Source organism: Homo sapiens, chromosome 12 (assembly GCF_000001405.40).
Source record: "Homo sapiens chromosome 12, GRCh38.p14 Primary Assembly".
Lineage (NCBI taxonomy): Eukaryota > Metazoa > Chordata > Mammalia > Primates > Hominidae > Homo > Homo sapiens.
Window position 1 is genome coordinate 132,241,724 of NC_000012.12, and position 23,194 is coordinate 132,264,917.

General features: G+C 57.5%; 1 protein-coding gene across 1 annotated transcript in view, besides 4 other annotated features; it reads right to left on the reverse strand.

The window, feature by feature from the left end:
* Positions 1-1,616: part of a minisatellite, noted in NCBI's record as "MS43a (D12S11) VNTR, 45 nucleotide repeat", that runs on past the window's edge.
* Positions 1-2,079: part of a repeat instability region, noted in NCBI's record as "repeat instability region; HinfI fragment, which displays instability at the MS43a repeat region", that runs on past the window's edge. NCBI's record gives the evidence for it as "EXISTENCE:restriction fragment detection evidence [ECO:0001124][PMID:8094296, PMID:3482146]".
* The window catches only part of GALNT9 (polypeptide N-acetylgalactosaminyltransferase 9), a 133,218-nt gene that overhangs the window by 45,352 nt on the left and 64,672 nt on the right, over positions 1-23,194 (reverse strand). The window contains exons 3-6 of the mRNA NM_001122636.2: positions 20,736-20,902; positions 19,225-19,399; positions 15,966-16,163; positions 6,187-6,304 (exon numbers count right to left, since the gene is read on the reverse strand). Of these exons, the coding sequence (NP_001116108.1) occupies positions 6,187-6,304; positions 15,966-16,163; positions 19,225-19,399; positions 20,736-20,902 (658 nt within the window). The remainder of the gene's footprint in view (positions 1-6,186; positions 6,305-15,965; positions 16,164-19,224; positions 19,400-20,735; positions 20,903-23,194) is intronic.
* Positions 13,583-14,103: an enhancer, noted in NCBI's record as "NANOG-H3K4me1 hESC enhancer chr12:132831859-132832379 (GRCh37/hg19 assembly coordinates)". NCBI's record gives its function as "activates a minimal SCP1, AML or CMV promoter by ChIP-STARR-seq in naive H9 embryonic stem cells {active_cell/tissue: H9 hESC(naive)}" and the evidence as "EXISTENCE:reporter gene assay evidence [ECO:0000049][PMID:30033119]".
* Positions 14,104-14,623: an enhancer, noted in NCBI's record as "H3K4me1 hESC enhancer chr12:132832380-132832899 (GRCh37/hg19 assembly coordinates)". NCBI's record gives its function as "activates a minimal SCP1, AML or CMV promoter by ChIP-STARR-seq in naive H9 embryonic stem cells {active_cell/tissue: H9 hESC(naive)}" and the evidence as "EXISTENCE:reporter gene assay evidence [ECO:0000049][PMID:30033119]".

A 23,194-nucleotide genomic window follows, 5' to 3' on the forward strand; every position in this document is an offset into this window, starting at 1 on the left:
CTCCCTATACCCATTACACACACAACACACCCCCTTCCCGGGGCCCTCCCTATCCCCATTACACACACGCCACACCCCCTTCCCGGGGCCCTCCCTATACCCATTAAACACACAACACACCCCCTTCCAGGGGCCGTCCCTATCCCCATTAAACACACAACACACCCCCTTCCCGGGGCCCTCCCTATACCCATTACACACACACCACACCCCCTTCCCGGGGCCCTCCCTATACCCATTACACACACAACACACCCCCTTCCCGGGGCCCTCCCTATACCCATTACACACACGCCACACCCCCTTCCCGGGGCCCTCCCTATACCCATTACACACACGCCACACCCCCTTCCCGGGGCCTTCCCTATACCCATTACACACACGCCACACCCCCTTCCCGGGGCCTTCCCTGTACCCATTACACACACAACACACACCCTTCCCGGGGCCCTCCCTATACCCATTACACACACGCCACACCCCCTTCCCGGGGCCTTCCCTATACCCATTACACACACGCCACACCCCCTTCCCGGGGCCCTCCCTATACCCATTACACACACACCATACCCCCTTCCCGGGGCCCTCCCTATACCCATTACACACACGCCACACCCCCTTCCCGGGGCCTTCCCTATACCCATTACACACACGCCACACCCCCTTCCCGGGGCCCTCCCTATACCCATTACACACACAACACACACCCTTCCCGGGGCCCTCCCTATACCCATTACACACACGCCACACCCCCTTCCCGGGGCCTTCCCTATACCCATTACACACACGCCACACCCCCTTCCCGGGGCCCTCCCTATACCCATTACACACACGCCACACCCCCTTCCCGGGGCCCTCCCTATACCCATTACACACACGCCACACCCCCTTCCCGGGGCCCTCCCTATACCCATTACACACACGCCACACCCCCTTCCCGGGGCCCTCCCTATACCCATTACACACACGCCATACCCCCTTCCCGGGGCCCTCCCTATACCCATTACACACACGCCACACCCCCTTCCCGGGGCCCTCCCTATACCCATTACACACACGCCGCACCCCCTTCCCGGGGCCTTCCCTATACCCATTACACACACGCCACACCCCCTTCCCGGGGCCCTCCCTATACCCATTACACACACGCCGCACCCCCTTCCCGGGGCCTTCCCTATACCCATTACACACACAACACACACCCTTCCCGGGGCCCTCCCTATACCCATTACACACACGCCACACCCCCTTCCCGGGGCCCTCCCTATACCCATTACACACACGCCACACCCCCTTCCCGGGGCCCTCCCTATACCCATTACACACACGCCACACCCCCTTCCCGGGGCCCTCCCTATACCCATTACACACACGCCACACCCCCTTCCCGGGGCCCTCCCTATACCCATTACACACACGCCACACCCCCTTCCCGGGGCCCTCCCTATACCCATTACACACACGCCACACACCCTTCCCGGGGCCCTCCCTATACCCATTACACACACGCCACACCCCCTTCCCGGGGCCCTCCCTATACCCATTACACACACAACACACACTTCCCGGGGCCCTCCCTATACCCATTACACACACACCACACACCCTTCCCGGGGGGCCATCAGGGCCCCCAGTGGCCTCAGTGTCCAGTCCTCCCCGTCCTCCGGAGCTCTCTCTGGTGGGGGCCCCAGTCCTCCTCGTCTTCCGGAGCTCTCTCTCTCTGGTGGGGGCCCCACCTGGCCGACCTGAAGGTCAGGGCATCCACTCTTTGGGGAAACGAAGTTGGGTTCGTAGGGGCAGCTCTGGTGTTGTTGGTCCTTCCCTCCAGACACCACGTCTCTTCGTCTGGCTCCCAGGAGACCCCAGTTCTATTTCTATTTCTCCCGCCTCTGTCATCCCCTCAAACTGCTTCTGCATAGCCCCCACTCTGCCTCTCAGGCTTTAACCCCAACTGTGAGCCCCACCTGGCTGTCCTGGGGCCACTGAACTCCACGTGTCCATCGTGGCTCTCCCCAACATGCCACCACGCACCGGCTGGCATTCTGTCCCTATGAAGGCCCTGCCTGCCTGGGGACTGGGAATCAGCCGCTGTCCCAGCCCACCCGTCAATCACCCATCAATCACCGGCCAATCACCCGTCAATCACCGTCTCTTGCCAGCTTTGCATCCTAAATATTTTTTGGAAGAGTCCCGTGTCCGCCACACCCCACAAGAAAGAAAGTTCACCCTACTGGGCTCAACAGTAAAGATGTTAATGAAGGGAAGCTTTAGGGATGTGTGGTTAGGGGCATAGGGACAGACGGGGGCAGTGCAACCTCAGGGGCGGCAACGTGCAGTTCTCGACACCGGCAGAGTGAGGCCTCGGGCCGGCCACTCGGACCACGGTGCAGCTTCCAACAACCTGTGGTGCCTCCACGGGCCAAGACAGCCTGCGGTGCCTCCACGGGCCAAGAGCACAAGGTGGGAGGAGGGAAGGAGCTGGGGGACTGGAAAGCGGTGGTCAGCATCTGAGGGCCCGGCAGGGCTGGGGCTAGACGGGGGATGTGGTGATGGGGCTGGACGGGGGGGCGTGGTGATGGGGCTGGACGGGGGCGTGGTGATGGGGCTGGACGGGGGATGTGGTGATGGGGCTGGACGGGGGGGCGTGGTGATGGGGCTGGACGGGGGCGTGGTGATGGGGCTGGATGGGGGCGTGGTGATGGGGCTGGACGGGGGGGCGTGGTGATGGGGCTGGACGGGGGCGTGGTGATGGGGCTGGACGGGGGCGTGGTGATGGGGCTGGACGGGGGCGTGGTGATGGGGCTGGACGGGGGCGTGGTGATGGGGCTGGATGGGGGCGTGGTGATGGGGCTGGATGGGGGCGTGGTGATGGGGGCTGGACGGGGGGGCGTGGTGATGGGGCTGGACGGGGGCGTGGTGATGGGGCTGGACGGGGGCGTGGTGATGGGGCTGGATGGGGGCGTGGTGATGGGGCTGGACGGGGGGGCGTGGTGATGGGGCTGGATGGGGGGGCGTGGTGATGGGGCTGGACGGGGGCGTGGTGATGGGGCTGGACGGGGGCGTGGTGATGGGGCTGGACGGGCAGCATGGTGATGGAGTTGGACGGGGGCGTGGTGATGGGGACAGGTGAGTCTCCTGTCCCTCACCAGGAGAACTGGGTTCTGGTTCTCAGCCTGTCTCCCACCGTAGAGCAACCTCTGACCGCCAGACAGGACACCAAGGTGAAAACTTTCAAGCCCCCAGGACGGGAGAGAGGTCAGGGGGAGAGGTCGGGGGAGAGGTGGCAGGGAGGGCAGGGAGGTCAGGGAGTGGAGTAAACGCTGGGCGCGGCCACAGCTGTGCCTTGTCAGGGGATGAAGGTGAAAGACAGAACCCGCGGTGACACAGGCTCCCCTGCCCCGCGGAGGAGTCAGGCCATCAGAAAGGCCCCTATGTCAGCCAGGCGTGGTGGTTCACACCTGGAATCCCAGCACTGTGGGAGGCAGAGGCGGGCAGATCACCTGAGCTCAGGAGTTTGAGACTAGCCTGATCAACATGGTGAAACCTCGTCTCTACTAAAAGTACAAAAATTAGCCGGGCATGGTGGCATGTGCCTGTGGTGCCACCTACTTGGGAGGCTGAAGCAGGAGAATCAGTTGAACCCGGGAGGTGGAGGTTGCAGTGAGCAGAGATCGTGCCACTGCACTCCAGCCTGGGCAACAGAGTAAGACTCTGTCTTAAAAAAAAGAAAGGCCCATGTGTCATGGAGACGGGAGGGAAGCTCTCCAACGGCTGCAGCCAGGGCCCTCTGTGGTCCGGCACCCACACCCCCAGCCCAGCCTGCTGACCCTCGCCCAGCCAGGGCCCTCCGTGGTCCGGCACCCACACCCCCAGCCCAGCCTGCTGACCCTCGCCCAGCCAGGGCCCTCCGTGGTCCAGCACCCACACCCCCAGCCCGGCCTGCTGACCCTCGCCCACCACACAGGTTCGCTGTCGTCCCGGCTTTGCTCTGAGCCTGAGCCTGGGATGCACCCACGACCCAGCCTCCTGGGACCTCCTCTCACTGCAGCTGGGTTTGGCCCACGGGAGCCGATTTTGTTTGGAGGGGAGGTGGGCGTGTTTCTCCCCTGGGCCCTTCCTGCTGAGGCGACTTGTCTTTCACTGACGGTGGCTCTGTCCCCAGGACCACATCTGCTGGGTGCCCTCCACCCCAGGGGTCCCGTCCTCCCTCGCTCTTCGGCCTCGGTGGTGGCTGCGCACTGCCGGTCCCCGGCACCCTCCCCAGGCTGTCCTCCTCGTCTCTGCGGTGCGTTCCATCCCTCTGAGGGCCTCGGCTTTCTTAGGCCCCTGACTGCTGGCCTGGTCTCCTGCCCCACAGGGTGAGCATCAGGGGAGACGGTGAGAGAAGCCGACACCCGCGTGGGTGCGTTCAATCCACGGCCGACCCGCCAAGGTCTGGTGTTTAACAATCACAGCAGTTAAGGGAAGTCAGAATATTAAAGAACCTGCCAGATTAACTTCCAGCTTCCATTTTAAAAATGTGTAATTGAGGATTGATTCTAGATGTGCAGTTTAAAATCGGACAGGATGAGAGGATTAAAGGCACCTGCAAACAGTCCTGACATCCTTCACAGATCTGGTCTCAATTCAATTTATTAAACTAGATATTTTAAAGCACTTGGTCGGGGGGATTTCTGGTATGATATCAGGCATTCAAAGTGATTAAAAGAAAATAAAACACTATGTTTGTAAGTGCCATTTTTAAAAGGCTCAAGGGACTTTAAAGGCACAAAAGCAGTGAATTCTGTTTCACGGTATTATTTTATTTTATTTTATCATATATTTTTTGAAATGGAGTCTCACTCTGTCACCCAGGCTGGAGTGCAGTGATGCGATCTCAGCTCACTGCAATTTCCGCCTCCTGGGTTCAAGTGATTCTCCTGCCTCAGCCTCCTGAGTAGCTGGGATTATAGGCATGCACCACCATGCCTGGTTAATTTTTGTATTTTTAGTAGAGGCAGGGTTTTACCATACTGGTCAGGCTGGTCTCGAACTTCTGACCTCATGATCCACCCACCTCTGCCTCCCACAGTGTTGGGATTACAGGCGTGAGCCTCAGTGCCCGGCCTCACAGTATTATTTAATCTGCCCAACCTGAGTTAAACAATCGCGGCCACGGGGAAGGAGGCCGTTTTATTGATTGAATTTGTGTCCACGATAGTACGATCTTTAAAGTGAACCGCAAGCTTACAGCACAGGTTTTGAAAGGTGCAACTTAATAAACTACATATAAATTTTTAAAACTAGCCTTAACTCTTTTCTGTGAATAGAAGCCCCATGGGCAAAACACAAAGGAAACCAAACGAAACTCCAAAATAAAAAACCCGCAACCTCCAAAATAAAAACCTAAGAAGCAGAAGCCCGGCCGAGCTCAGAGCCTCACACGGACACGGTCCCGGGAGGCAGAAGCCCGGCCCAGCTCAGAGCCTCACACAGACACAGTCCCGGGAGGCAGAAGCCCGGCCGAGCTCAGAGCCTCACACCCACCCTCTGTGCCGAAGGACCCACCTTTCCAAGGTCCCAATCCATTGTCACCTGGGGGCAATTCATAAACAGCAAAACAAAGGGCATGAAAAATAAAGTAGACATGGGAAATGCCATCTTTTGTGATTCTACAAAATTTCTCAGTGATGTTGCCACTGAGCTTCTAGCAAGACTCAGGGTAGCCCCATCTCACTGTCCCCAACTCCAGCTCAGGGACCCTGGGAGCCTTGGCCGCCCAGCTTGGCTTCCAGCTGCCTCAGCCTAGGCTCTGGAGAGGGCTCAGTGCGCTGAGCAGGAGCCCTGGACCTCACCCTGTCCCTAGACCATGGCTGCACTCGCCCTCACCCTGTCCCCGGACACTGCAGCCACACTCGCCCTCACCCCATCCCCAGACGCCATGGCCGCACTCGCCCTCACCCCGTCCCCGGATGCCGTGGCCGCACTCGCCCTCACCCCGTCCCCAGACACCGCGGCCTCACTCGCCCTCACCCCGTCCCCAGATGCCGTGGCCGCACTCGCCCTCACCCCATCCCCGGACGCTGCAGCCACACTCGCCCTCACCCCGTCCCCGGACACCGCGGCCTCACTCGCCCTCATCCTGTTCCCAGACGCTGTGGCCTCACTCGCCCTCACCCTGTCCCTGGACACCGGGGCCGCACTCACCCTCATGCCCAGTTCTACGTTCTCGCCGCCATACACCTCCATGCCGGGGTCCAGCAGCCCAATGTCTCCGAAGTACTCGCGGTCCACTACGAAGGAGCAGCCGATCATGGCTGGGGTCCTGGGAGGCAGAGACAGCGGCGTGAGGACCTCGCCATGCAGGCCTGAGCCCTGCCTGCTGGGCCATGAGCCAGGAAAGCCTGGAAGACCCCACCACCCCTCCCTCCTGTGCCTCCTCCCTGTGCACTCAGGTCCCTGTGCTCAAGGTGAGGGGCCGCTGCTCCTCCAGCCACCAGGACTTGAGTCCCTTGGAGCCTGGTTAAGCCCTCAGCCCAGACAGCGTCCAAATGCTGAATGCCAACAGATGACAGAACCCGCATTCAATTCAGCTTAGTGTAGGAGGTTTAAAAAAAGATCAATCGGCCGGCACAGTAGCTCACGCCTGTTATCCCAGCACTTAGGGAGGCTGAGGCAGGAGGATCACTGGAGCCTGGGAATTGAGGCTGCAGTGAGCTGGTATTGCACCACTACACTCCAGCCTGGGCAACAGAGTGAGATCCTGTCTCCCCTCTCCCCTGAAAAAAGATCAGTTTACCTAAGGAGCTCTGTGGTTGCCTTGAACATCATTTCCCAAGTTCGAGTGAGTCACTTGCCCGCCTCCCCCATGCTTCATCCTAACTGTGTATCAGGAGCCAGGACTGCAATGGGCAGTTGCGTAGGCTGTGCACTGCTCAACTCCACAGAACCTTGTTGATGACAGATTCTGAACGACGCAGCTTGGAGCTGAGTGCACAGCCTGTGCAGCTATGTGCCACAGACTGCCAGCTGTACTATACTTCCTGTAATAATTCTAAAACGTCAGCCGACTTAGCCTGGCCCCATCTCTGTGAAATCATGCATTGGTATGCTAGTTATATTTTTTCTAATATGTATTGAGAGTGCATCAGTGCTGCAAATCCCCTGGGAAGAGGCTGCATGGACAGCAGTGGTGAAGGCAGGATCCGCGGAGCAGTGAAGGCAGGATCTGCGGAGCAGTGAAGGCAGGATCTGCAGAGTGGAGCGGGAGGATAAGCTGGTGTGCCATTGTGGGCCACGCGACGTGCGAGCTCATTCACTCATCCCTCTCAGGTTTCTACTGGGTGTCTGGAAGGTGGCGGGGATTGAAAAAGAGGCAGGAAAATCACATCTCCAGCAAGGAGCAGGCAGAGTCTGTGTGTTGTAAGGAAGGAGGAACTTCTCATCTTTGCTGAAAGATTTTGCCTCAAAACAATTTCCTTGTCCGTGGAGAGCTTCATTTCTTCTGAGGCCTCAGGAGCTGTCAGAGGAAGCAGCAAAGCCTCACGCTATCCCCAGATGCCACGGCAGGCCGCCCTGCAGGCCTTGAGCTTCCCTGATCCTCCTCTGCGTATCAACGCGTTCTTCCATAAAAACAACAGCAAAAGTTGGCCTCTGTCATAATTTAAAGGAAGCAATTCTGTCCCCAGAGACTCAGCAGTCAGAAATAAATGCCCATCGATTGTCCAAGAATAGCAGGAGCATTAAAAAGCAATTGTCCTTTTATTTGTGCAAAGATCCAATTTGTTCTGTCATTAGATTTCGGCCACAAACCTAACAGTGATGAAATTTTAATACCCCCCCTTGATTTTTAATAGCAACCTTTGATTGGGTAAGTTATAGTTTATCATATACAACAGGTATTTCTCCTGTTTTCTTAACAACAACCATCATTTCAGGGTGATCTCTGATGAAGTGAAGAGCCAGATTCTCTGCCACATCTATTGTAGCGGGTAGCGTCTTTTTTATTATTGCTCAGAGTTCTAAAATAAAGCCCATGAGGCAAGGGAGGCAGCACCAGCTGGAACTGGATTGACTTGCCGGAGAGATGCCTGCTGTGATTACAGAAAAAGGTGGGCTGAGGGTTCTCAGGCTCGCGTGGGGCTGCCTGTCACCGTGGTGACAGCCTCCCCTCGGGGCGGTTCCGCCACACGCGGGGCACAGGGGTGCAGGGTGGAGGCCCCAGGTCCTGCCTGCTGGAGCTGCTCTGCCCGATGCCCGCACCTGCCCTCCAGTTCTCAGCTTCCGGGGCCTTAGTCCAGCCGGACGCCTCTTGTTAGCATCAGAAGCGACTCAGCCCAGCAGCCACGGAGGGACAGGTGGATACATGGAGAGTGGCCCATCCAGGCTGTGGACCGCAATTCTGCAGTGGAAGGAGCGAGGCTGACACAGCCTGCGACGTGGAGGAACCCTGGAAACGTGGCACCGAGGGCAGGGAGCCAGGTGCAAGAGGTTGCCCCCCGTGTGACTCCGTCCGCATGCAAGGAACAGAAGAGGCAAGTCCACGGGGGCAGGAAGTGGATTCGTGGATGCAGGGGCTGGGGCGGGGGGAACGGGGAGTGGCGGCTCGTGGGTGTGGGGTCCCCACGGGGAGGGAGGACAATGCTTTGGAACGAGACGGAGGTGGCAGCTGCACGACACTGTGATGGTCGAAACACCGCAGAGGTGCCCACTTTAGTGTGGTTGATTTGTGTTATATGAGTTTCACCAATGGCCCATTGAGTGCTTTGATCTTCCACAGACCCTGATAACAAGAAAAGCCAACGTGGCCGGGCACAGTGGCTCACGCCTGTAATCCCAGCACTTTGGGATGCCAAGGCAGGCAGATCACCTGAGGTCAGGAGTTCAAGATCAGACTGGCCAATATGAAGAAACTCCATCTCTACTAAAAATACAAAAAATTAGCCGGGCGTGGTGGTGTGCACCTGTAATCCCAGCTACTCGGGAGGCTGAGGCAGGAGAATCACTTGAACCTGGGAGGCGGAGGTTGCAGTGGACTGAGATGACGCCACTGCACTCCAGCCCGGGTGACAGAGGGGATTCCGTCTCAAACGACAACAACAACAAAGGCTCAGCTCATGCCGAGGTAAGACGGCGAGGAGGCGGTGGGCACCGCCCGTGTGGGTGGAGTCGGGACCCACATCCCCGGAGGCCTGCGGTGGACCTGTCGCCTGCACACGTGCACAGGGAGGCCTAGTGAGCCCGGTGCCCGTGAACCTGGGATAGGTACGTAAACAGCAGCGCGCGCGTAAGACACAATCCACGGAGAAGCTAAGACAAGGGCACCGGAGCCGCGTCCTTCCACACGGAGTTTGGAACACGTCGAGAATAACGCACACTGAAACCTCGCCGTGCAAGACCCAAGCGGTGACCGGCACACGGTACACGTACGTGCAGATGTGCGAGCCACAAACGCATGGAAACATCACCCGAGAGCTTGATTATTTACATTTCTTTCACATTCATTTGATTTTATGAATTTCGATCGATACAATTTTAACTTTGGTTTCAGTCAACACTTGCCACCTTCAATCAGAGGCACTGAAACGAAAAGTTAAAATTAAAACTGGAGTACGTTAAGGATGAAAAGCACAGGAAGGCATGTCCAGTTCACGACGCCGGTTACGGGGCAGGAAGCTGTGAAACAGGCCGGTGCTCTGCGTCTTGGGGGGCTCCCGGCATCCGCTTTCCGGGGAGGGGAGCGGCTGCTCTCGTTTCTGTGTGGCTTGTCAATGGGGTTGGGGTCGCTGACTCCTTAAATCCTTGGAGCTCAGGGCTCTGCAAGGCCAGCTCTCAGAGGGGACTCCTCCGGGCCCACACCGCCCTCCCAGGTCCTCTTCTGACCAGGAGAGGTCTCAGGGACAGCACCCTGTTCTTTGTTCCTCGGGTGAAGGAGAAAATCAGGGGTCTCCTCCCCGCAGGCCCAGCCCCCGGCAGACAGGGCTCTGCAAGCTGGAGGGCCCTGGGGAATGGAGGTAGTGCTTGGGGTTCCAGAGCTTTGGAGGGAATAATTTCCGAGTGGTTCTCAGGTGGGCAGGCCTGGTGTCAGCACAGCCCTTGATCCTGGAGGGGCTGGTGGCACATCAGCAGCCTCTGGGCACCCACAGCCTGGGGGCCCCACCTCTTCCTGGAGGAACACATGTCCCCAGGTGTCCTCCGAAGTCACACTTGAACCAGCAGCCCCGATGAGAGCCAGCTCCCCCAGGCCTGCCCCCCGCCTGCCAGGCTGCCTGTCCTTCCTGCCGTTCTCCCACCTTGCTCACGTGATGGGGGTGCCGGATCTTAACTGGGATCCCAGGAATCCTCCGTGATGAGGATGGTCCCCAGCGTCTGTCTGGGAGAAAGGAGCAGGGGAGCAGGAAGAGGACTAGAACAGGGTGGAGGCCAACAGGGCAGCCACCTCCACAGGCCCAGGCAGTGAGGCCACACTCCTGCCTAGGACTGTCCCATTGAAGCTCAGGTGCTTCAACTCTGCAGGGAGCAAAGAGGCCTCCAAAGATGAGCCACAGGCGGCTGTGAACGCAGGAAGGGCAGAGAGTCCCAGGCACATGGGCACCTCCTGCAGCCGCATCCCCGCCACGACTGAAGCCTTCGTGTCTTGCGGACGCCGACACTGACATTTAATGTTATTTAAAAACTGTTTCTGAGAAGGCAGAGAAGCACGTGCCACGTTTTAGAAAGAGTTTGCATCCACAATGGAAAGAGTGAAATGTAGGGTCCAGCCCTACAGGGCTTAGCGGGTGTTCTCCCCGTGTGCAGAGACAAGAGATTGTCAGAAATAAAGACACAAGACAAAGAGATAAAGAGAAAACAGCTGGGCCTGGGGGGAACCACTGCCATCAAGACACGGAGACCTGGCTGGGCGCACTGGCTCATGCCTGTAATCCCAGCACTTTGGGAGGCCGAGGCAGGCGGATCACCTGAGGTCGGGAGTTCGAGACCAGCCTGACCAACATGGAGAAACCCCGTCTCTACTAAAAATACCAAAAAAAATTAGCCAGGCGTGCTGGCACATGCCTGTAATCCCAGCTACTAGGGAGGCTGAGGCAGGAGAATCGCTTGAACCTGGGAGGCGGAGGTTGTGGTGAGCCGAGATCGCACCACTGCACTCCAGCCTGGGCAACAACAGCGAAACTGCCTCAAAAAAAAAAAAAGACACGGAGACCAGTAGTGGCCCCGAACGGCTGGGTGCGCTGATATTTATTGCATACAGGACGAGGGGGCAGGGTAAGGAGGGTGAATCTTCTAAGTGATTGACAAGGTGAAGCAAGTCACATGATCACAGGACAGGGGGCCCTTCCCTTTTAGGTAGCTGAAGCAGAGAGGGAAGGCAGCAAATGTCAGCGTTTTCTTCTATGCACTTATAAGAAAGATCAAAGACTTTAAGACTTCCACTATTTCTTCTTCTGCTATCTACTACGAACTCCAAAGAGGAACCAGGAGTGCGGGAGGAGCATGAAAGTGGACAAGGAGTGTGACCATTGAAGCACCACAGGGAGGGGTTTAGGCCTCCGGATGACTGCGGGCAGGCCTGGAGAATATCCAGCCTCCCACAGGAAGCTGGTGGAGCAGAGTGTTCCCTGACTCCTCCAAGGAAAGGAGACTCCCTTCCACAGTCTGCTAAGTAACAGGTGCCTTCCCAGACACTGGCGTTACCGCTTGACCAAGGAGCCCTCAAGCGGCCCTTATGCGGGCATGACAGAGGGCTCACCTCTTGCCTTCTAGGTCACTTCTCACAATGTTCCTTCAGCACCTGACCCTATACCCTCAGGTTATTCCTAGATTATATTAGTAATGCAACAAAGAGTAATATTAAAAGCTAATGATTAATAATGTTTATAATAATGATTGATAATTGTCCATGATCATCTCTATATCTGACTTGTATTATGATTATTCTTATTCTAACTATTTTCTTTATTATACTGAAAGTTTGTGCCTTCAGTCTCTTGCCTCGGCACCTAGGTAATCCTTTGCCCACAGTGAAAATTGTTAGGACTTAAAAAGTGAGGTGGTTATCCCTGCACCTAAAGTTCCATTCCCCAAAGAGATCACGGAAATGCCGTCCTGGAGCAGGGCCCACACTTTCTCTGCCCGGGGCAAGTGTGTAAATGTCTTGGCTCTGTGCCAGAAGCCTGGGTGGCAGCTGCTCCCCTCTGCCCTGATATGCAAATGAGGAAACATGGCCGTGTGTCAATAAAGCTTTATTTACAAATACAGGACTGTGGGCCATGATTCCCTGACCCCTGCTGTACATCCTTGAAAATGCCCTTCACTGTTTTTTCTTTTTTTTTTTTTTAGACTGAATTTCGCTCTCGTTGCCCAGGCTGGAGTGCAATGGCACCATCTCAGCTCACTATAACCTCTGCCTCCTCTGTTCAAGCAATTCTCCTGCCTCGGCCTCCCAAGTAGTTGGGATTACAGGCACCTGACACCACGCCCTGCGAATTTTTGTATTTTTAGTAGAGACAGGGTTTTGCCAGGCTAGGAACTCCTGACCTCAGGTGATCCACCCGCCTCGGCCTCCCAAAAGTGCTGGAAATACCGGCGTAAGCCACTGCACCCGGCCCCTCCGCTGCTTTTAATATGCATATTTACTTTTATGGAAATTTTCAAGTGTATGCAAAAGGAGAAAGATGAGCAGAATGTGTTCTCAGTTTCAGCGATGATCAGCATCGTGTCCTTCTTATTTTTTTCTCTCGCCTATTACTCCTGATCCTCCAGCATGAGGGGAGTGATTCTGACAGGGCTCATGTCTCTGACTCTGATCCTCTATGCGAGAGGAGTGATTCTGACAGGGCTCCAGCACGTGACTCTGTGATCCTCCAGTGAGTGGGGAGCTGATTTCTGATGGGGCTCTCGCCCAGACTTTGATCCTCCAGGGTGAGTTTTGACAGACAAACTTACACGAAGGTCAGGCAGGTAAAGTACAAGAGAGAAGAGGGCTAGTGTCACTTGTTGAACATGGTGAAATCAAAGCCTTCATCTTCTTTCTCTTGAAATAGTCAGTCCTCTTGGTCTGTCCCTATTCTCCCTCTCCCGTAAGGACCCAGCTCTAGAGAATTATTTCCCCAAGTGGAGCAGCAGCATCAGCAAATGATAAACAATACAGGACAGATGGGCTTGCCGGGAGCGGCTGTTGGGACAGGTGGTGACTGTGGCTCTGCTCTGTCCGAGGGAGCAGCCACAGCTCAGCTTCAGTTCATCATGACTGAGTAAGAATTGGGGCCTAGAATCTTCCAATTTTCAAAAAGAGTAGAAATCATTTTCACATAAAATAAGATTTCAAGTGAAAATGATTAAGTATTGGTTCTGTCAACCAAGAATAAAATTCTAAGACCCCCAACCAATTGAATGGAGCCGCTTCTCAACCAAGGGCACCCCAAAGTAACCCAGGAAAACGAGCTCAGGTCCTGATGGGAAGAGGGTTTGGACAAGCCCCTTAGACTCTCCTCCCTTTGGAATTCTGGAACACTAAAACACAGATGTTAAGTCTGACCAAACAGACTCTTTTGTAGAGATAAAATGCATCCAAAATGACAGTTAGCAGGTCCCTAAAGAAGTTAAGTATTTTACCCCAAAATGTATTTCATTGATGTATTTTGAAATGGCTTGCAATGCTGTGTCTTGTGGGGGAACTCAACATTCTGTAGAGACTTCCCTTTCTTTTGGAGGTCTTTTCTGATCCAGACAAGATTAACCAGAAGTCTGGCCCCTTTTTAAGTCTGATAAGAAACATTTACAATCTCCTCCTTCTGAAGCTCCTTCTGAAGCCCGCTACCTGGAGGCTTCATCTGCATCATAAAACCTCGGTCTCCACAACCCTTTATCTTAACCAGATGCTCCTTTCTATTCATACCAGGTCTTTAGATAATAACTTAACTCTTTCAACCAATTACCAATCAGAAAATCTTTGAATCCGCCCATGGCCTGGAAGTCCCCACTTCCGGTCCTCCCGCCTTTTGGACTGAACCAGTGCACACCTGACATGTGTGCATTGATTCCTTCTCCCTAAAACATACACATCCAGCAGGCTGCACGCCTGCACGCTAAGCATGGAACGCAGGGGCACCGGCCGCGATGACAACACCGCGTGGACCCACATGCGCCTTTGCGATCTTCACGCTGGGTGTCCACCATGGAAGCCGTCCTGGAACTTCTAACATGGCCCCATCTCGTTGCGGCTGTCTGCTGTTTCTGTCCCCATGAGGGAGGGCGAACTCCTGAGTTTACGCAATCCACCCACCTGGGCCTCCCAAGTGTTGGGATTACAGGCATGAACCACCGCACCTGCCTTAATATTTCATTTATTCTTTAAAATCAACTTTGAGGGGTGAAATTTATATAAAATGAAATGCATCCATGTGATCTTTGCATTTTGGCCCATTTTGACTGATGGAGACCCCTGGGTGACCCCATCCTTTTCCAGCAGAGAACACTGCTGCCCTGGAACTGTCCCAGGCAGGCCCCTTCCCTGTGAGCCCCGACCCTCAGCCTCCACCCAGGATGAATTTTGCCTTCCGTGGAATTCTGTGTGCAGGAATCACGCAGACACTCTCTTCCATGTGTGGCTCCGAGGCTCAGCATGAGCCTCTACATCTCACCACGTTGTTAGGTGTGGAAGGGTCCACTCCTCCCTGTTTCTAAGTATTCCGTGATGTGGGTGGAGTCTGCCCTGCTCATCCATTCACCTGCTGACGCATATGAGGCTACTGTGAGTAACGCCGCTGTGAACGTTTGTGTGGAAGCCTTTGCATGTACGCATGTCTCATTTATTTTGAGAAAAACACCTGGGAGTGGAATAGGGGGGACACTGGAGGGGGGACACGGGGGACACTGGAGGGGACAGTGGAGGGGGACAGTGGAGGGGGAACACTGGAGGGGGAACACTGGGGGGACGCTGGAGGGGGACACTGGAGGGGGGACGCTGGAGGGGGGACACTGGAAGGGGGGACACTGGAGTGGGTTTCGGGCCTTCAGAAGGAGCTGCCGGTTTTCCAAAGTGGCTGCACCGATTCACAGTCCTGCCAGCCATGTCCGAGAGTTGCATCTGTGCCATGTCCTTGTCAACATTTGGTATTGTCAGCCTGCACCTTTCAGCCACCCCAGTGGGCACAGAGCCCCATCTCACTGTGGGTTGAATTTGCATCTCCCTGGACTGTGGGGAGCACATTTCATGAGCTTGCTGGCGCAGGCCAGTCTTCTCCTGGGTAGTGTCTGTTCATGTCGCGCCCTGTCCTTTAGCTGAGAGCTGGAACGGGGGGCTTCAGCAGCTGTCCAGGTGGTGGCTATGAGGAGCAGGGGGGCAGCCATGCCTTGAAGACTTGATGGGGCCAGTGAGCCTGCTCCTGCCACAGCTCAGGGCATCCAGAGCCTGCCAAAAACTGTGGGAGGTGCCTCCCATTGGGTTCTCTGAATTTCACTGATTTTTAAAATGTCAAACACAAGGCGATCCTTTTCCTGCTAATTGGGGATTATCAAGTGCATTTTGAATGAAGAAAAATAACCTTCAAGCCGTTAGTACTGGCTCCTGTGAACCCTGAGGGCTGCGTCTGCATCTCTGTGATACAGACAAGCTCTGTGTGCCAAGTTTTTATGGCAAAGCCCAGGGGCCCCAGCACCCGGCCCGACACTCACCGTGGTCTCTGCTCAGCCCCTGCACCAGGTTGTGCTTGCTGGGGGACGTCCCCAGCCCTCGTCCCCATGCCCTCATCCCCGGCCCTCGTCCCCACGCCCTCGTCCCCGGCCCTCGTCCTCATGCCCTCATCCCCACGCCCTCGTCCCCGGCCCTCATCCCCACGCCCTCGTCCCCACGCCCTCGTCCCCACGCCCTCGTCCCCAGCCCTCGTCCCCGGCCCTCATCCCTGGCCCTCGTCCCCACGCCCGCCTCGCTCTGCTCCGCTCCTTGCCGGGCAGGGCCGCCCTCGACCCCTGAGGGCGCAGCTCACCTGATGGGTGCTGACTCGTCGCCGCGGTCCAGCCAGTCCTGCGGGGGGATGATGTACATGCACCAGAGGCCCCAGTTGTAGCCATGGGCGGCGTTCGCATACTGCTGCACCTCAAACGTGCTGTACTTGATGTTGTCGATGGCTGGCAGCACGATGCGACGCCGGTCCTCTCGGATCCGCGACAGTGCGGGCTCGGCCCTGCGGAGGCACAGCTGTGAGGAGGGGCGGCCCCAGCCCACCGCATTCCCTGAGGAGGGTCCACTCGCCCACAGGGAGGGGAGGCCAGTCCCCACCTGGTCTGCATCTAGCCCTGCCACCCCCTGCTGAGCTAGACCCACATCCTCCCTTGGAAGCCCAAGGGCCCCTCTCAGCAGCAGACCCACCCTGACCAAGGCCTCACCCCTGCTGGGGTAGCCCCTCGAATGCCACTGGCCCCTGGGGGACGCTGACACCGGCCACGTTGGCCCAACTGCAGTATCTCTGAAGGGCTGCCCAGGGGTCCATAAGAGGTCAGCTATGTCCACCACGGGGCTCCCCAGCTCGGTCTCCCTCTCTGCCCAGCCCCGAGTCCCTCCTCTCCTTTCCTGCTCCTGTGGGAGCTGCATTCATTTGCAAGAATTAATTGAGGATCTACTATGTGCCACGCCCTGTTCCCACAAATTGGAATACAATCATGAACTAAGGAATAAAAACAATCCGTGCCACGGGGAGCTCGCACGGTGTGGGATGAAAAGCCACCAGGCACCGTTGTGCAGAGTGGAACCTGCATGAGTGTGCAGCGGCCCCGCTCAAGGACGGGACGGAGGATGAGGTATAAGCAGTCGTGGATGTTGTAGAGGGGGCTCACAGTTTTAAGTAGGGCTGCCCTGGGTAGTGACTGGAAGGAGGCATAGAGGGAGTCTCAGAGGGTGCGGCAGCTGCACCGAAGCCCGGGCGTGTGCCTAATGGGCCTGCAGGGCTGGCCAGGAGGCCGGACAGAGCGATGGGGCAATGGGGGGCGAGGAGGGCAGAGAGGAAGGTGAGTAGAAGCAGCCTCGATGGGCATCAGCTCAGTCTTCGATTCCCCGTCCCAAGCAGGGGTCCTGGGAAGCAGGTGCAGCCCTCGCCCTTGGAGACGCCATGGTCTACCGCAAGGTGAGATGGCCGCAGAGGCCCGCCGTCCACGCTGGAGACCCACAGGGCCAAAGCCACCCAGCCACTGGCTGACACAGAGCCCAGAGGCTGCAGTGAGAGGCTGGATGGCCTGAGGGCAGATTCGGGTCGGCTCAGGCAGAGCCGGCATGGGGAGAGGCAAGGCCCTGACCCTGCCTGTGAGACCACACGGCTGTCTTCACCCCTTCTTCCCGTCCTTCTGAGCATGAGGCCTGGTATTTACCTGCCTTTCAGCTTTGTGAGGAGGATTAATTAATTACTGTTAGCGAAGTGCTTCAGAGATGAAAAGCTCCCTGGAAATGCCAGGTCTTCTAATAAGGCAGAATCCTTTGTGGAGACAGTTACGGGAGGGGGTGCTATTTGCAGATGGATAACTGGGTTTTCAGTTGTGAAAATTAAATTTGGACCGGTTTAAAATTGCATTTTGACGTGACAGACCCAAGGCTCCCCCAGACGCCCTCAGGCCTCGGGGAGCTTACCCGGCATCAGAGGGACTAAAAGGCTGCCGGTGTAGTTGTGCAGTGCACAACGTGTGCGACTGCATGGGGTGACATTGTGGGGGGCAGACAGTGGAACACAATTCATGCACAACACGTCAGAAGCTGATAAACATCGAGGGAAAGGAAAGCGCCCTGCGGAGGAGCGAGGAAGGGGAAGGGAGGGCACAGGGCAGAGGAGGCAGCGTCTTGTCAGAACAGCGCCGGCTGGGGACTGAGATGCCCCAGGAAAGCCGAGTGTGAGGGGAGAAGCCTGAGAGGTGCCAAGTCCCCACTTGAACCCACTGATGCTGTTATGGAAACCACGGACTTTAAGAAGCCCCAAAACGCCAGGTTCCCCGGGGACCCAGCAGGAGGCCCAAGGTCACATGCAGTGGGGTGTCCCAGCCAATCATGACAGTCCCAGCCTCCGTGTAACACTGAGATCAAACATCAGCTGGCCCTTCCCACCAAGGCCCCCTGCAGTGACAACAGCCCATATTTCCCTGAGTTGAAAAATGAGTCAGGAGAGTTGATATTAAATCTTCAGTTTTTGTTTCTCCAGGAAGTGGGGAAAATGTCCTCCCGGGTCTTCCTTGTGGTTGGGTGGACAGGGGTGGGTCCTGGCCCTGGTGCGGGGAACACCCTGTGCATTGTGGGCGCGGGGCCTGCCTGGGTGCGGGGAACACACCCTGAGCATTGTGGGCGCGGGGCCTGCCTGGGTGCAGGGAACACACCCAGTGCACTATGGACCCCGTAGGTGCCCTCTGTGGGGCTGGCTTTGGGGTTTGCCTGGGGGCATCCTGGACTGCCCCAACTCTAATGACAAGGGTCCTTGCATAAGGCAGGGATGGAGAAACAGACACAGGGAGGGCGTGGGGGTCGGAGGTGGGGGCTGCAGCCCTCAGGAGCTGAGAGAGGTGGGAGGGATCCTTAAGGGCCTGGAGCCTCTGGGGGAAACTCGGCCCTGCCCACACCTTGGAGTCGGGCCCTGCCCACACCTTGGAGTCGGGCTCTGGGCCTCCAGAACGGTGAGGAGGTGAAGTCTTGCTGCTCCGAGCCGCCCAGAAGGGGTTGCTTTGTGCTGGTGGCCCCAGGACCCCATACACAAGGTGACCCCCTCAGCCCAGAAGCTCACTTCCCACGCCCCTTGCACTAGGCTAAGGCCTCGGGGGCACTCGTGGCCATCTCCAGTGACTGAGCAGGGCCTGAGAGGCCGGACTTCTGCACCTTAGCCCCACCCCACCTGATCTGAGGTTCCCACCCCGCGGGGGACACACGGTACCCGAGCCTGCTGGAGTCAGGACAGGGTCACATTCTCCTGGGGCAAGGTGGGCACAGACCAAGCCTCATACACATGCCTGGGAGCTTCTAAGCGCCATGTCCTTGGGTGCGTGCTGGGCCTGCCCTCCCGTGGTTTTGCATTCAGGAGCTGGACACAGAGAGGCCGCAGAGGTAACCGCACAGGTGGACTCAGTGGTGGCTCTCAGTCCCAGATCCTGAAGGCTACGGCGAGTCTCCCAGCCCCGGGGCCAACCCAGCGGCCAGGCTGCAGCCGCACGGCGGCTTAGGAGGGGGATGGTGGAGGGGGACCCGCTGAGACTGGCTGTCCAGCCTGTTCCGGCCCTTACCAGCCCGTGTTGAACTCGACGTGGGCATCAAAGAAGCCGACGACTGGGGCGGTGGCCGCCTTCCAGCCCTGCAGCCGCGCGCGGATCAGTCCTTCCCGCCGGCTGTTGCGGACAATCTTCACGAGGCCTGGGTACCGCTTGTTGACGTACTGGTCCAGATTGAACTTGAGTTCCACTGAGGAGAGACAAGACTTTAGCACGCTGGCAGGTGCTGGCAGGCGCGGGGCCACCAAGACCCAAGGCTGGAAATGCTGCGTGCCGCGTGTGGGATGGGTGTATTGTAAACATTCTCTTAGGACCCACTGAACCACATGTGGTTCAGCGTGGAGGTCACAGAGAGATGAGACCCCAGCCTCATGATGCTGACATTCCAGTGGGAGACACAGCAAATAAGGAAACACACCAGACAGACAGACAGACAGAGAGACAGACAGCAGCCCATGCTGTGGAGACACAGGACTGCAGTCAGCTGTAAAAAACCAAGTCCATGCATGGATGGGTGGACACACAAACGTGGCCTTCCATGCTGGGGGCAGGGTGTCCTGATGGAGCTCCCTGTGGCCAAGGGCAAGACACAGGTAGCCGAGCTGGACTGGATGGTCCTCCCCACACACCACCTTCTCCAGCGAGACAGGGCTCAGGAGGGCAGCCACGCCATTCAGTCCTCTGCACACAGACCCCAGTGTAGACGGTGCTGCTGGGCTAGGGCACTGCTGCAGGCCAGAGCTTGCCCCACAGCCCCATGGCACAGCCTCCTGCCTCCACGAGGGGTCAGGAAGGGGCTCCCCATGTTTTCCTCCATTTCCAGAGGGAGTGTCACGGCTGCAGGCTCTCTGCTCTGCGCCTGGGAAGGGCAGATGGGGGACAGGCCTGGGGCAGTGCAAGATCCTTGTTTGGGGTTTCAAGCCTGTGTGCTACAGGGTGTGAGTAGCACTGCCCTCAGGGGACCTGAAGCTGAGGAGGGTGGCGCTGAGGAACCATGGGGCTTGGGCTCCAGCTGCGAGCTCTGTCCAGCCAAGCTCTGGTGTGAGCCTCTGTGGGCAAGAGAGGTGGGAGGCGTGACTGGCACTCTGGAGAGCTCAGCTCTACTGGCCTCTGTGGAAGGGGGTGGCTGACCCCAACTTCATCTCCACCCGGAGCCTGAGAGGAGAGGAAGCAGGGACTTTGTAGATGTATCCGGTTGAGTATCTTGAGATGAAATCCTCCTGGATTTGGGGTGAGCTCTGTGTCTAGTCTGGGTCCTCATGAGAAGAAGAGAGGATGCAGACACATGGGAGAGGCCGCATAATGGAGGCAGAGAGAGGCACTGGCAGCCACACACTGGGGACAGCACGTACGCAGCCATGACAGAGGCTGGAAGGCAGGAGGGACCCCCATAGGTTTAGAGCCCCTGCGGACAGATGGGGTGCAGTCCTCTGTCGCTCTGCCCCCGGAGGCTCCACCCAACCCCAACTCAACCCAGCCACAGGCAGCCGCCCGGCGAGCACCGTGCCGAGGCCCCGCCCACTCACCGTTGTCACTGTTGTCGTCCACCAGGATGACCTCCTTGAGGAGCTGGGAGGGCGTGTGGTTGACCACGCTGTGCACGGAGCGCAGGATGACCGACAGCGCCTCATTGACGAAGATGAAGACCACGGAGACCTGGGGCAGGTCCTGGGCGTAGCTCATCTGTCTGCACCTGCAGGAAACACGGTTTGGGGTGCGGTCAGGGCGCAGCATGAGGGACCCCGGAAGCCATAGCTCATCTGTCTGCACCTGCAGGAGACACGGTTTGGGGTGCGGTCAGGGCGCAGCATGAGGGACCCCAGGAGCCATAGCTCATCTGTCTGCACCTGCAGGAGACACGGTTTGGGGTGTGGTCAGGGCGCAGCATGAGGGACCCCGGGAGCCAGGTGCACCCTTCGAGGGTCACTGGACAAGGCCTGGACCCTACAACCAGACGCCAAGGGTGTACGGGGGCCAGAGCTGTTCCAGAGAGAAACTAGTAACAGTAACACAGCACTCAGCACACACATGGCCCCTGTGCCCACCCCGTGCTCACAGCGACCCCGAGAGGAGATGAACGTCCCCGTTCCACAGACAGGAGCCTCCCCTGTGGGCCATGAGTGCAGGTGCTTGGATTCCAACCCCAGCCATCAGCTTCAGGAGCACGTTGGGGACGGCGCTGCTGGGCACAGCCGAGGAGCTGGGCACAGCCAAGGAGCCAGCCACCCGCACAGGCAGCCACTTCCCGCCCTGGCTCATAGCTGGTTCCAAGCCTCTGGTGAGAATTTCAAAGGGACAAGGGCTGTGCGCCACCATCATATTTATCTGGGCTGTGGTGCTCAGCCAGGGAGATTTCATCACTCAGAAAAATGCTTTCTGACAAGAAAACGTCACTCCACTCATCTGTAGAGGAAAAAGCTTGGATTGCACAGTTTTCATGAACTTGCAAAATGTGTAAAACAGAAAGTCCTGAGAAAGGAAGTACGTCCTAGGACGGACTGCAGGAGCGGCTGCAGGTTGGAAAGGAGAGGTTTTGGAGTTGGGGTGGTGGGCAGAGGCACTCCCAGAGCCCAGGGGGAGGGGGGCAGGGCTGCTCAGAAAGCCTGTGGCAAGTCCTGTCCCATGGGGTGGCCCCCCTCACCGTCCTCAAGCGCACACCCTGTACCTGTTTGTTCCTGCAGGTCTGTCTCCCCCCGTGACCGGAACGTGAGCGCCCTGACAGCAAGCTCCTTTTCTGTCCCATTGACAGCTCTATACCAAGAACCCAGGCTGTGCCCGGCACACAGCAGGTACTTTATAAACATCTGTGTAATGAGGGGACAAATGAAGACTCAAGGGGCCCCACAGGCACCGGCTGGGCCCGTGAAGTACTCACGCCTGCCCCCTACGCCTCCTCGGAGCAGTGGAGGAAGCTGCTGGCCTCTGGGGGACAGTGGTGGACTCCACCCTTCTTTCTCCCTCCATCACTAGGTCAGGAGGCGTCTCGGGCCTGGCTGCGGGGCCACATGCACCTGTGCTGAAGAACTTGCAAGCAGCAAGGACAAGTGATTTATGGCGTGACCGTTCCCGGGGGCCTCCAGCCTCTTCAGACTTTACGAGGGCAGGTGGGGGCAGAGAATCCCTGTCACCTACAGCACTCATTCTCAATGACCTCTCATTTGATTTAGAATCCATGTTCGGTACCCACTTCTTGCCCCAGAATATCGACGGCCTTTTATTGATGGATCTCAGCGGCCACTCGCTTTATAAACAAGCCGCCTGCATGGAACAGAAGGCCTCCCTGCAAGCTCATGGCACAGGTTTGAGAGATGGACGCAGAGGCCCCCGGGACGCTGGCCACGCGGAGAAGCGTGTGAGGAGCCCAGGAGCGATCAGGGCAACAGAACCTTCCAGATGCATCCTCTGCTCTCCGCTCAGCAGCAACATGAAGAAGCCGAGCCGGGATGGCCTAAGCAGGAAGGGGGCTGGTGGCTCATCCGTAGGAAAAGTCCAGGTGTGTTTGGTTTCGGGCCCGGCTTGGTCGGGGGTCAAAACTTGTCAGTGGGACACAGGCTTCTGCCTGCCTCTCTTGGCTCCAGCCTTCTGGCTTGAGTTTAATCTCAGGAAGGCCTGTCCGCATGGCCGGAGGCCGTGTCCGCGTGGCCGGAGGCTGTGTCCCCGCAGGTCCAAACCTTCCAGGGGTTTGAGTCCAGGGCAGCAAACCCACCTGTCTTCCCAGGACACGCAGGAAAAGCATCCCTGTGTCTGCTGGGCTCTGATTGGGTGACGTGCTCTTCCCTGAACCAATCGCTGTGGCCAGAGGAAATAGGGCACTCAGATTGGCTTATGCTCCACCGCGTCATGCTGGACTCAGGGCCTGGCAGGTGCGGCTCCTAGAAGTGGGGCCCGTGGATGCTGGACCAGCCGTCAGCAGATGTTCCTGACAGGGAGCAGCGCCAGGGTCCGATCCAGGTTCGAGCCCAGGCGCCCACAGGCGAGACCGACA